Source organism: Homo sapiens, chromosome 4 (genome assembly GCF_000001405.40).
Source record: "Homo sapiens chromosome 4, GRCh38.p14 Primary Assembly".
NCBI lineage: Eukaryota > Metazoa > Chordata > Mammalia > Primates > Hominidae > Homo > Homo sapiens.
The window spans coordinates 95343834-95356754 of NC_000004.12; the positions used below are offsets into that span (position 1 = coordinate 95343834).

Below are 12921 nucleotides of genomic sequence, written 5' to 3' on the forward strand. Positions count from 1 at the left end.
AAGCAGAAGAAAGAACTAGTAAGCTTGAAGTCGGGTTATTTGAAAGTACACAGTCAGAAGAGACAAATTAGAAAAGAATGAGAAAAAAATGAAGCACATCTACCACAACTAGCAAATAGCCTCAAAGGGACAAATCTAAGAGTTATTGGCCTTAAAGAGGAGGTAGAGAGAGATATAAAGGTAGAAAGTTTATTCAAAGGGATAATAACAGAGAACTTCCTACACCTAGAGAAAGATATCAACATTCAAGCACAAGAAGGCTACAAAACATCAAGCAGGTTTAACCCAAATAAGACTACTTCAAGACATTTAATAATCAAACTCCCAAAGACTCAAGGATAAAAAAAGGATCCTAAACGCAGCAAGAGAAAAAAACAACATAAAATGGAGCTCCAGTACACCTGGCAGCAGACTTCTCAGTGGAAACTTTACAGGCCAGGATAGAGTGGCCTGCCATATTTAAAGTGCTGAAGGAAAAAAAATCTTCTTTTCCTAGAATAGTATATCAAGAGAAAATATACTTCAAACATAAAGGAGAAATAAAGACTTTCCAGACAAACAAAAGCTTAGAGATTTTATCAACACCAGACCTGCCCTACATGAGATGCAAAAAGGAGTTCTTCAATTGGAAAGAAAATGTTAATGAGCAATAAGAAATTATCTGAAGGTGCAAAACTGACTGGTAATAGCAAGTATACGAAAAACACACAATATTATAACGTTATAATTCTGGTATGTAATCTACTCATATTTTGAGTAGAAAGACCAAAAGGTGAACTGATCAAAAATAATAACAATAACTTTTCAAGACATAGACAGTACAATAAAGAATAAATAGAAACAACAAAAAGTTAAAAAGTCAGGGGACAAAGTTAAAGTGTAGAGTTTTTATTAGTTTTCTGTTTGCTTGTTTATACAAGTCAGTGTTAAGTTGTCATCTGTTTAAAATAATGGATGACAAGATATCATTTACAAGCCTCATGATAACCTCAAATCAGAAAACATACACAAAATAAAATAAAAAACAAAGAAATTTAAAAATGCCAACTGAGGAAAAAACCTTCACTAAAAGGAAGACAGGGAGAATGGAAAGAAGGAAGAGAAGATGACTGCAAAACAAACAGAAAACAAATCACAAAATGTCAGGAATAAGTCCTTATTTGTGAATAATAATATTGACTATGAATTGATTAAACCAATCAAAAGACACAGAGTAACTGAATGGATTATAAAACAAAACAAAAAAAATAAGACCCAATGATCTGTTGCCTACAAGAAACACATTTCACCTATAAAGGAACACATAGACTGAAAATAAAGGAACAGATAAAGATATTCCATGCAAATGGAAACCAAAAAAGAGCAGGAATAACTGTACAAAATAGATTTTTCAATACAAAAACTATATAAAGAGAGAGAGAAAGAAGGTCATTATAAAATGATAAACGGGTCAATTCAGCAAGAGGGCATAACAATTGTAAATATATATTCATCCAACACTGGAGCACCCAAATATAATATATAAATCAAATATTAGAGCTAAAGAGAGAGATAGACCTCAATACAGTTAAAGCTGGAAACTGCAACACCCTACTTTCAATATTGCACAGATCATCCAGATGGAAAACCAACAAAGAAACATCAGACTTAATCTAAACTATGGACCAAATGGACCTGATAGATATCTACAGAAAATTTCACTCAGCAGTTACAGAATGCACATTCTTCTCTTCAGCACATAGATCATTCTCAAGGATAGACCATGTGTTATGCCACAAAATAAGTCTTAAAAAATTAAAAAATTGAAATTATATCAAGTATCTTCTCTGACTATAATGGAATAGCCTAGAAATAAATAACAAGAGGAATCTTGGAAACTGTACAAACACATGGAAATTAAACAATATGCTCCTGAACAACCAGTGGGTCAATGAAGAAATTAAAAAGTAAATTTAAAAATTTATTGAAACAAATGATAATGGAAACACAACATACCAAAACCTATGGGATATGGCAAAAGCAGTACTAAGAGGAAATTATAGCTTTAAGTGCCTACATCTGAAAAGTAGAAAAACTTCAAACAAACAACCTAAACATTCATCTTAATAAACTGGAGAAGCTATAGCAAACTAAACCCAAAAGTAGTAGAAGAAAAGAAATAATAAAGATCGGAGCAGAAATAAAGGATATTGAAATGAAGAAAACAATAAAAAAGATCAATGAAACAAAAGTTGGTTTCATTTTCAAGTTTTTTGAAAAAGGAGACATTACACCTGATACTATAGAAATTCAAAGGATCATTGGAGTCTACTGTGAGCAACTATATTCTAATAAATTGGAAAATGGAGAAGAAATGGATAAATTTCTAGACACATACATCCTACCAAGATTGAAACATGAAGAAATCCAAGACTCGAACAGACCATTAACAAGTAAGGGGATCACAGAAGTAATAAAAAGTCTCCCAGCAAAGAAAAGCCAGGACCCAATGGCTTCACAGCTGATTTCTACCAAACATTTAAAGAAGAACTAATACCAATCCTCTCAAACTATTTCAAAAAAATGAAGGAGCAGGGAATACTTCAAAACTCATTCTATCAGGTGAGTATTACCCTTATACCCAAACCAGAAGGACATACGGAAGAAATCAAACTACAGGTCAGTATCCCTGATATTGAACATTGGCACAAAAATCATCAACAAACTAGTAGCAAACTGAATTTAACAACACATTAAAAAGATAATTCATCATTGCCCAGTGGGATTTATCCCAGGCATTCAAGGATAGTTCAACATACACAAATCAGTGTGATACATCCTATTGAGAGAATGAAAATCAACAACATATGACGATGAAAACCCATTTGATAAAATTCAACATCCTTTCATGATAGAAAGACTAAAACAAACTGAGTATAGAGGAAATATACCTCACCACACTAAAAGTAATATACAACAAACCCACAACTGGTATCATACTAAATGGGACAAATCTGAAAGCTTTTTCTCTAAGATATAGAAAACAACAAGGATGCCCACTTTCATCACTGTTAGTCAACATAGTACTAGAAGTCCTAGCTAGAGCAATCAGACAAGAGAAAAAAAATAAAGGGCATCTAAACTGGAAAGAAAGAAGTCAAATTATCCTTGTTTGCAGATGAGATGATCATATAGTTGGAAAAACCTAGACTTCATCAAAAAACTATTGGAACTAATAAACAAATTCAGTAAAGTTGCAGGATACAGGGTCAACATACAAAAATCGGTAGCATTTCTATATGCCAACAGCAAACAATCTGAAAAAGAAGTCAAGTAAATAATCCCATTTACAGTGGCTACAAATAAAATAAAATCCCTAGGCATTAATTAAAGAAGTGAAATATCTCTAAAATGAAAACTGTAAAACATTGACAGAAGAAATTGAAGAGGACACACAAAAATGGAAAGATATTCCATGTTCGTGGGCTGGAAGAACCAACATTGTTAAAATGTCCATACTACCCAAAGCAATCTAGATTCAATGCAATCCTTATCAAAATATCAATGACATTCTTCACAGAAATAGAAAAAAAATGCTAAAATTTACATGGAACCACAACACACCCAGAATAGCCAAAACTCTCTTGAGCAAAAAGAACAAAACTGAAGGAATCACATTACCTGATTTCAAATTATACTATAGAGCTATAGTAACCAAAACAGCATGGTACTGACATAAAAACAGACACACAGACTCATGGAACAGAATAACAAACCCAGAAACAAATTCATACACCTACAGTGAATTCATTTTTGCCAAGGGTGCCAGACATATACACTGGAAAAAGGACAGTCTCTTAAATAAATGATGCTGAGAAAACTGGGTATCCGTAGGCAGAAGAAGGAAACTAGACCCCTATCTCTCACCATATACAGAAATTGAATAAAAAATGGAGTAAAGAATTGAATCTAAGACCTCAAACCATGGAACCACTAAAAATAAAGATTGGGGAAACTCTGCAGGACATTGGGCTGGGCAAAGATTTCTTGAATAATACCTTACAAGCACAGGCAACCAAAGCAAAAATGGACAAATGGGTTCACATCAGGTTGAAAAGCTTCTGCACAGCAAAGGAAACAATCAGCAAAGTGAAGAGACAACCTACAGAATGATAGAAAACATTTGCACACTACCCATCTGACAAGAGATTAGTAACTAGAAGAGATAGGGAGCTCAAACTGTACAGGAAAAAATCTAATAATCTAATTAAATAATCAGCAAAAGATTTGAAAAGACATTTTTCAAAAGAAGACACACAAACGGCAAGCAGGTATATGCAAAGGTGCTCAACATCATTGATCATTATAGAAATGCAAATCAAAATTACAATGAAATTTAATGACCAGTAAAGCCAGTTAAAATGACTTTTATTCAAAAGACAGGCAGTAACAAATGCTGGAAAGGATGTGGAGATAAGAGAACACTCATACACTGTTGGGGGGAATGTAAATTAGTACAACCACTATGGAGAATGGTTTGGAGGTTCCCCAAAAAACTAAAAATAGAACTACCATGCAATCAAGCAATCCCACTGCTAAGTATACCCAAAAGAAAGGAAATCAGTATATTGAAGAGATATTTGCACTCCCATGTTCATTGTAGCACTAGTCACAATTGCCAAGATTTGAAAGCAACCTGTGTCCATCCACAGATGAACGGATAAAGAAAATGTGGTAGATATGCACAATGTGGTAGATATACACAATGGAGTACTATTCAGTCATTAAAAGTATTTTTTAATGACTGTATAGTACTCCATTGTGTATATCTACCACATTTTCAAAGTACCCATTTGTAAACTACCTGCAAGCAGGTATATGAAAAGGTGCTCAACACCATTGATCATTACAGAAATCCAATGAAAACTACAATCTATAAAAAAGATTTTTTATGACTGAATGGTATTTAGTTATAAAAAAAGACTGTTTCTGTCATTTGCAAAAACACAGGTGGAACTGGAGGACATTATATTAAGTGTAACAAGCCAGGTACAGAAAGACAAACTTCACAGGTTCACACATATTTGTGGGAGCTAAAAAGTAAAACAATCGAACTCATGGAGAAAGAGAATAGAATGATGGTTACCAGAAGCTGGGAAGGGTAGTGAGAGGGAGGGCGGGAGGGGGTAGAGTTAATGGGTATAAAAACATAGTTAGATAAAATGTATAAGATCTAGTATTTGATAGCAGAACAGGGAGACCACAGTCAACAAAAATTTATTATACATTTCAACATAACCAAAAGAGTATAATTGGATTGCTTGTAACACAAATAGAGGATGAATGCTCGAGGTAAGGAATACTCCATTTACCTTGATGTAATTATTTTGCATTGTTTTCCTGAATCAATACATCTCACGTACCCCATAACTGTATACACCTACTCTGAACCCACAAAAATTACAAATTTTTAAAATGCAGACAAAAATAAAAAGAATGAGAGAGAAAGGGTGTGTGTGTGTGTGTGTGGGTGTGTGTGGGTGGGTGGCTGTATCTCCCTCATACACACACACCCACACACACACACACACATTACAAGAAATATAAGGTAAAACCTAGAAGCTGATGCACACAAACATTGATGGTCATTACTTCTGGGGAAAAGGACTGGAGGGCTTTATGGGGGATTTTAACCTTTATTTGAAACAGATTTTTCAAATCCTAGATTATCAGTGATTCCTATTTTTTCTGCTTTTTGAGCTTTTATTCAAATCAAGAGATAGAGAAATAAAATATTCCCACATGCAACCTATTACTTCAGCTTAGAATAACCACAAGTCTCTTCATTAAATTCAACCCTCCCAAATCAGTGATACTGACTCTATAAAAAAAATCACTTGATGTCTCCATTAAAACCTGTGTTTATAGACCATGGTACTTGTAAGTATAATGTGTAACATTTCTTTAATTCTTCCTGCCTTTATCTCATTTTTCTCTATTTTCCAATGCCCTAACGTCCTCATGTCTGTGACCTCTGACTTTAAACTAACATAGTTTAGTAGCTTTCTCAAATTTGGCTTAGAAATCAATATTGGTTGATCACTTTCTATTTGCTGAGACTGTCTTAGCTACTATAGTGGAAGCCACACTTTATATTTCAATGAAATCTTTTTACTTATAAAAAGAAATCATGAAATAGAAGATAGTAAATTTAAGATAATCTGACTTTATGATAGAAATTGGTCTATTAGTCTAGTTATGTAAATATCATGTTTATAACTAATTTGTAACTCATTAGTACTTGACATTCACTTTAACGTGCTTAATTTTAGGATATCAGAAACGTTTGCTAATATGTGGAGGGTCTTACATAGGGAATTAAGAAAAAGTTCCGGCTGGGCGCGATGGTTCACGCCTGTAATTCCAGCACTTTGGGAGGCCGAAGTGGGCAGATCATGAAGTCAAGAGATCAAAACCATCCTGGCCAAACATGGTGAAACCCCATCTCTACTAAAAATACAAAAATTAGCTGGGCATGGTGGCACATGCCTGTAGTCTCAGCTACTCAGGAGGCTGAGGCAGGAGAATCACTTGAACCCTTGAGGGGGAGGTTGTAGTGAGCTGAGATCGTGCCACTACATTCCAGCCTGGTAACAGAGCAAGACTCCGTCTCAAAAAAAAAAAAGTTCTACCATTTCCTTACTCCCTATTAATGATTAGAGCTACATACCCTGTACTAGTATTGTGAACCTCAGGAATTTGAAGAACAAAAAAAGATTACCCATAGGAATATTGTAAAAATTCAATAATTATTGACAGACAAATAGGACAACTTAAACATAGGGTTAAGCCTTACTAGCTAACTAATAAGAATGATTTATAATATAGAATAATCTAATAAAGATTGAAAATTCATTATTACAATGTATTTGCATGACACATGCTCTCTTCTCTGGAAAAATCTCTGTGATGGTCAATTATATGGGTCAACTTGGCCAGGCTAGAGTTCCCCATTATTCAATCAAACATCAACTTAGGTGTTTCTGTGAAGGTATTTTGTAGCTGTGATTGAGACCACAATTAGTGACCTTAAGTGAGGGAGCTTATTCTAGATAATCTGGATGTGTCTGATTCAATCAGTTGAAAGGCCTTAAAATCAGAGCTGAAGCTTCTCAGAGCAACATCTAGATTATTGTTTGATTGAATAACTGGGGACTAGAGCCTGGCCAGGCAGACACTGTCAGATTCTCCTCCCCGCAATGTCATCCCCACCATTTCTCATAACTCTTACACATTTCTCAGATATTAGTTTAAATGCCCCTTCACCTGAAGGCCTCCCCACTCCTGGACATTAGCCCTTGCTAACCTCTCCCTTTGCTCCTTGCTGTTTTCCTGGTTCACTTTTCTTCCCCATGAGATGGCATGTTCAGAGGGTGAAGGGCAGTGCCTATCTTACTCACTGCTGCATAACCAATGTCTACTTCAGGGTCAGGCAGTAAACCTGACTTTAGGGTTAGGCTTTTTTTTTTTTTAATTTGCATTGTGGTTCTTAAAGAGGTTCTGTAAGATAAGACAGAAGTTTATAGGAATTACTCTATTAATCAAAATCATGAAACTTTGGAAGAAATCCTTGTACAAAATAAAACAGAAATGTGCATATTTAAAAACTGTCCCTTTAGTGTTTGTAAGTACAGATCCAGTTCCCACATTTAAAAAATTCTATGTGGCCAGGTGCAGTGGCTCATGCCTGTAATCCTGGGGCTTTGGGAGGCAGAGGAGGAAGGATTGCTTGAGCCCAGGGGTTTGAGACTACAGTGAGCTATGACCATGCCACTGAACTCCTACTGGGTTGACAGAGTGAGATTGTGTCTTTAAAAAAAATTAAAAATTAAAAAAAATATGTATCTTCTATGCAAGTGCTAATGCCATCCACCATGAGATGTGTAGAGCCTTGGACTAAATACATTCCTTCACTGAATAATTCAAGTTGACTCTAATACGTGTTGTGAATGAGAAATAAGATGACACCTCTGAATACAGTGCCCCTTCAACCTCTCGGCCTCATCTGACATTTGACCCCACTGCACCAACTCTCTCCTTTTGCAAACTTCCTCCTCTTTGGGGGACTGTTCATTAGCACTCTATTGCTTCCTGTCCTATGTCTTCGACCTTTCCCTTTCTTCCTTGCTGCCTGGATACAGTCAGATACTTACCAAGCTTTCTCCTTTAGTCTCTCCCCAAGGCATCTCATCCCAACTGTGGCTTCAGTTAGCAGATCATGTCACATACACAACCTTCCACTCCACTCTGCTGTTTCTTAAAACCCTTCAATGCCTTTGCACTGACCAAGTATGAAATCAGACTCCTTACTAAGGCCGAAAAGAACTCCCCTGATCTGATTGCTGCCAGCCTCTATGTCTCATTTTCAAGGCCATGCTCCAGACAGACAGACTGGTGTTTGTATCTTTGAACACACCAAACTCATTTCCACCCTAGGGTATTCACACTTGCCCTTCACTTCTCTAGGAAGGATATTTCCTCTTCTCACTGCCGTTTAGGTTTCAGCTCAGGATGTACCCTGGACAAAGGGATTCTTGACCATTGTATCTCAAGTCTATTTCTCCCTCCAAGAACGTTTCCTTCTATCTGATTATTTCTTACTACCTATCATTTTCTCAAATTTGCTTGTTTACTAAGTTAGTTGTTTATTTCCTTTCCCTTCCAATAAAACTCCAAGCTTTATGGGATCAGAAACTTTGTCCATTTTGTTCAACACTTGACATCAGATGAACTTATCTTCCTTCTAAAACTACCTTCCCCTGTTGACACAGCTCCCCAATCCAGACTACAAGATCGTTCAAAAGCTTGGAATTCCTTCTCCCTGTCAGGCCTAATCCATTGACAATTACAGTGCATACCAGCTCTTCATTATTTCACTCACCCTCAACTCCTATTCTCCTTTTCATCACCAGGACTCAAGTTGAGGTCCTTATCATTTTTATTTGAATTGTTACAAGAGCCTCAATACTGATTTGCCTTGCTCTAGATTTTCTTCTCTCAACTCCATTTATGCCACATCATTACATTAGCATTCCCAAATGAATGTGGAATTATAACAGCTTCTGCTGGAAACTTTCAGCATTCCACACAACATGGCCCAAAGCTTATTTAATTTCCATTTCACTTAATACCATTCCACCAAAGCCAAATTTGGTGATTCTATTTTCCATCAATATAGCCTTTAAAATTTTTTCCACTTTCACTTATTTATTCTGCACTTAATGCCTTATTCCTTAATGACTTTGAGTTCATTCAAAAATCTATTAATGATCTTCCCAGATAAAACCATTACTTGCTCTTCAACTGTAAAAATGCTTTAATGCAATTTGGGGGTCTCAATTGTTTTTACTGCAGTCAGCTCTACCACACACCTAAGCGGGTTCTAAAACTTTTCATTTTAAGTGAACACATCTAAAAGTGATGACTTGTTTCAAGAACTATGAAGAAAATTAATGTCATCCCCATGGATAGATTATATATTATAAATTAAATTACCTGAATATAATCTAACCATATCTATCTATATCAAAAATATGCATGCATTATATATTTCATAATATTATAAAAATTAAGTATATGCAAAATTAAAGAACCTCAAGTACCTATAACCCATCTTCAAGAAATTTTCAACACTGTGCCAATTTTGTTCCAAAGAAAAAACTGTTTTATAAATATTTAGAAGTCACAAGCATGGAAAATTATATCAGAGTGTTAGGCTAAGATAGTGAAGGAGACTAACATCACCAAACTGAAAACAAGAATTAAATTTATAATATTGCAAACTATGAAAAGAAAATAGAAATATATTGAAAATAAGAATATTTGGTTTATTTAAAAAAAGAAAACTTAGTTGATGTGGTACAATGTTTATCATTAAAATTATTGTGACACTAAAAATAGTTATAACCAACGATAAGACCATATGGTTTAAAGTATATTTTAACTAAATAACCATTTAAAAACTCTAATTTAAGATTTTCTTTAAAAATTAAAAAACTATTTTAGTGACTATAGAATGTAGAAGTTATTACTTCAATTCAGTGAAATGATTTGTTAATAATACACATGAAAAGTACAGAAGTCCATAAGTCCTAATGAAGTTCATGAGCACAGAAAACCTTCAAAATCAAAGGATTGCCCCAAGCTAGAAATCTAAGAATTATCTTTGACTCTTTCCTCTCCCTCATTTCCAACATAAAAACAACGAAGTTCTACTCATTGTATGACCTACATACTTTTTGAATCTGTTTCTTTCTGTTTCGGATTCCACTATTATCATCATTTTTTGCCTAAACATTTTCAAATCTTCATAACTGTTGTTGTGTGCCTGCTGTCTAAAGGTAAGATCTGACTAAGTCCCCCTGTGGTTTAAATTCCTGTAGCTCCTCGTTTCCTATAAGATGAATCCAAGCTTGCCCACATGGTCTATAGGGCCTCCATAGCTTGCTGACCACTCCAACCTCATCTTTCACCACTCCCTGCCTTGCCCTCCACATTCCAAAAACACAGACCCTGTATCATCCTATGCACACAACACGCAGTTTCTACACCTTCTGTCTTCAATGACTTTTCTATCGTATTTTACCTAACTCTTCCATATATATATATTTTTTTTTTTTTTTTAAGAGACAGGGTCTTGTCCTGTCACCCAGGCTGGAGTGCAGTGGTGCAATAATGGCTCACTGTAACCTCAAATGTCTGGGCTCAAGCCATCCTCCCACCTCAGCCTTATTTGAGTACTTGGAACTACAGGCATGCACCACTATGCCTGGCTAATGTTTACATTTTTTTGTAGAGATGGGGTCATGCTATGCTGCCCAGGGTGGTCTCAAACTCCGGGGATCAAGTGATCCTTCCACCTTGGCTTCCCAAAGTGCTGTCTGGGATTACAGGTGTGAGTCACCATGCCCAGCCAGCATCATTTCTTTTAGGAAGTTTTCTCTGACTCTCTTCACCTGTGCCAGTTTAGAACCATTTTCTATCTCTCTCCCACCCGTATCTTCAACTTGTTAGGGGCTTATATCTATTTCTAACACTACCTTTTATAATTAGCTCTGTAGCTAACTAGCTGGCTGTTATGCATCTTTGCATACTTGGTGCTTATTATGCTCAGGGAGTTGAATTTGTATTTTTTGAATAAATGATTGCAGAGCTGTCTGTATCTAGGAAAGAATATAGATTTTGTTCTCATAGATTAAGAATTGTGTAATTGCTATAAAAATAGGCTTTGAGATTCCACAGACCTAGTTTTAAATATGAGTACTGCTGCTTATTAGGTATGTGACTTCTGACATTTCACCAAATCTCAGTTTTTGTGGCTATAAAATCTGTAGATATGGCAATGTGGCGACAGTGTGTGGGTTACATGAAATAAGGGAATGTAAATGACCTAGCTTAGAGATGACCACAAGATAAGATATCCACATATAAAAATATTCTACTTGCCTTATTTTCTTGTTGAATGTCTATTTTGGTATCAAGCTTCTCTCATTTTCCTAAATACACTTGAGCTCTAGTACTCTTTAATCCCTCCACCAGTAATGTCTTTTCTCTCCTGTGCCTGGTGAACTCCTAGTCTTCTAAGTTCACCTTAAGCTTTATTTCCTCCAGCAAGTCATTCTGGGCCCTTCCAGCATGGGGTTGTTGCCATCTCCCCCTGCTACCAGTGCACAATGGGCATCATTGCACCGTTGTGCCTATCACACAGTAATATATTACATTGTTCTTTTCTGCGCCCCACCCCCCCAGCATGAAACAGAGTTTATCTGAACAAGTTTCTGTGCATTTCATTTATTAATCTGGAGTACCCAGCCATGGTGGAAGTACAGACTCCTAGAGTGCTAAGGGACTCTTGGTACATAGCAAAACCAAAGATAAATAAAAGACGAGGTTTGCTGAATAAATGGATGAATACATAGAGATTCCTAAAACTATGTTTCCCCCAATTTTTAAAAATATAAAAGTCAATACTCTTCATTTTACTACTTTTAATAAACAATACGTTAGTTTTTGTGTTAATGCCTTGTTAAGACTCCTTATTACTGGTTGGGTGCACACTTCTTATTCCAGTAGTTTGGGGGACTGAGGTGGGAAGATCATTTGAGTCCAGGAATTTGAGACCAGCATGGGCAACATAGAGAGACCCTGTATCTACAAAAAATTTAAAAATTAGTTGGGTGTGGTGGCACCCACCTGTAGTTACAGCTACTCAGGAGGCTGAGGTTGGAGGATCATTTGAGCCCAGGAGTTAGAAGCTGCAGTAAGCTGTGATTGCACCACTGCACTTCATTCAGCCTGGGTGACAGAGGAAGACCCTGTAGCAAAAAAAAAAAAAAAAAAACAAAACAAAAAAAAAACAGATTCCTCGTTCTTCCTCATTCTTTCCTATGGTATACAAAATTGTTTTTGTCTTATCTTAGTTCTCTCCCTATTAAAATTTAGGCTATAACTTATAATCAAAATTTCAGAATTTGCTTATTAAAAATCTCCCTATGTAGAAATTCCAGTTACCATATCACTTACCAAAATTTGTTTATTTTCAAGTACTGCTTGGGAGGCATCAGCAAGTGGTGAAAGGAACATTGAACCATGAGTTCGAGGCCTTGGTATTGGTTCCAGCCACATTCATAATGATCTTTTGCCTTTTCTAAGTGTGTTTAAGTGAGCTGATGGATTGATTCATATTCTATAAACAAAAATCCAAGTTGTAAAGACATCATACACACAAATGGCAGTTTCCAGAAAGTGAATATAGTCTAGAAGTCCCTTAGCACTCTAGGAGTCTGTGCTTCCACCATGGCTGTGTATCAGGACTGTGTGAGAGAGAGGCCTGGGTAACAAGGCAAGAGAAAGAGGTCCAGAGAAATGTCTCCTTTCTTTGTG

The 12921-nt window shown here is 35.9% G+C and overlaps 1 protein-coding gene across 4 annotated transcripts in view; it reads right to left on the bottom strand.

The window, feature by feature from the left end:
• UNC5C (unc-5 netrin receptor C) overlaps positions 1–12921 on the bottom strand; it is a 386470-nt gene that overhangs the window by 181330 nt on the left and 192219 nt on the right. For 2 of the 4 annotated variants that reach the window (XM_047416346.1, XM_047416345.1), the window contains one exon: positions 12562–12724. The exons of the other annotated variants lie outside the window; for them this stretch is intronic. The gene's annotated coding sequence lies outside the window, so the exon portion shown is untranslated. The remainder of the gene's footprint in view (positions 1–12561; positions 12725–12921) is intronic. 4 annotated transcript variants of the gene reach the window in all.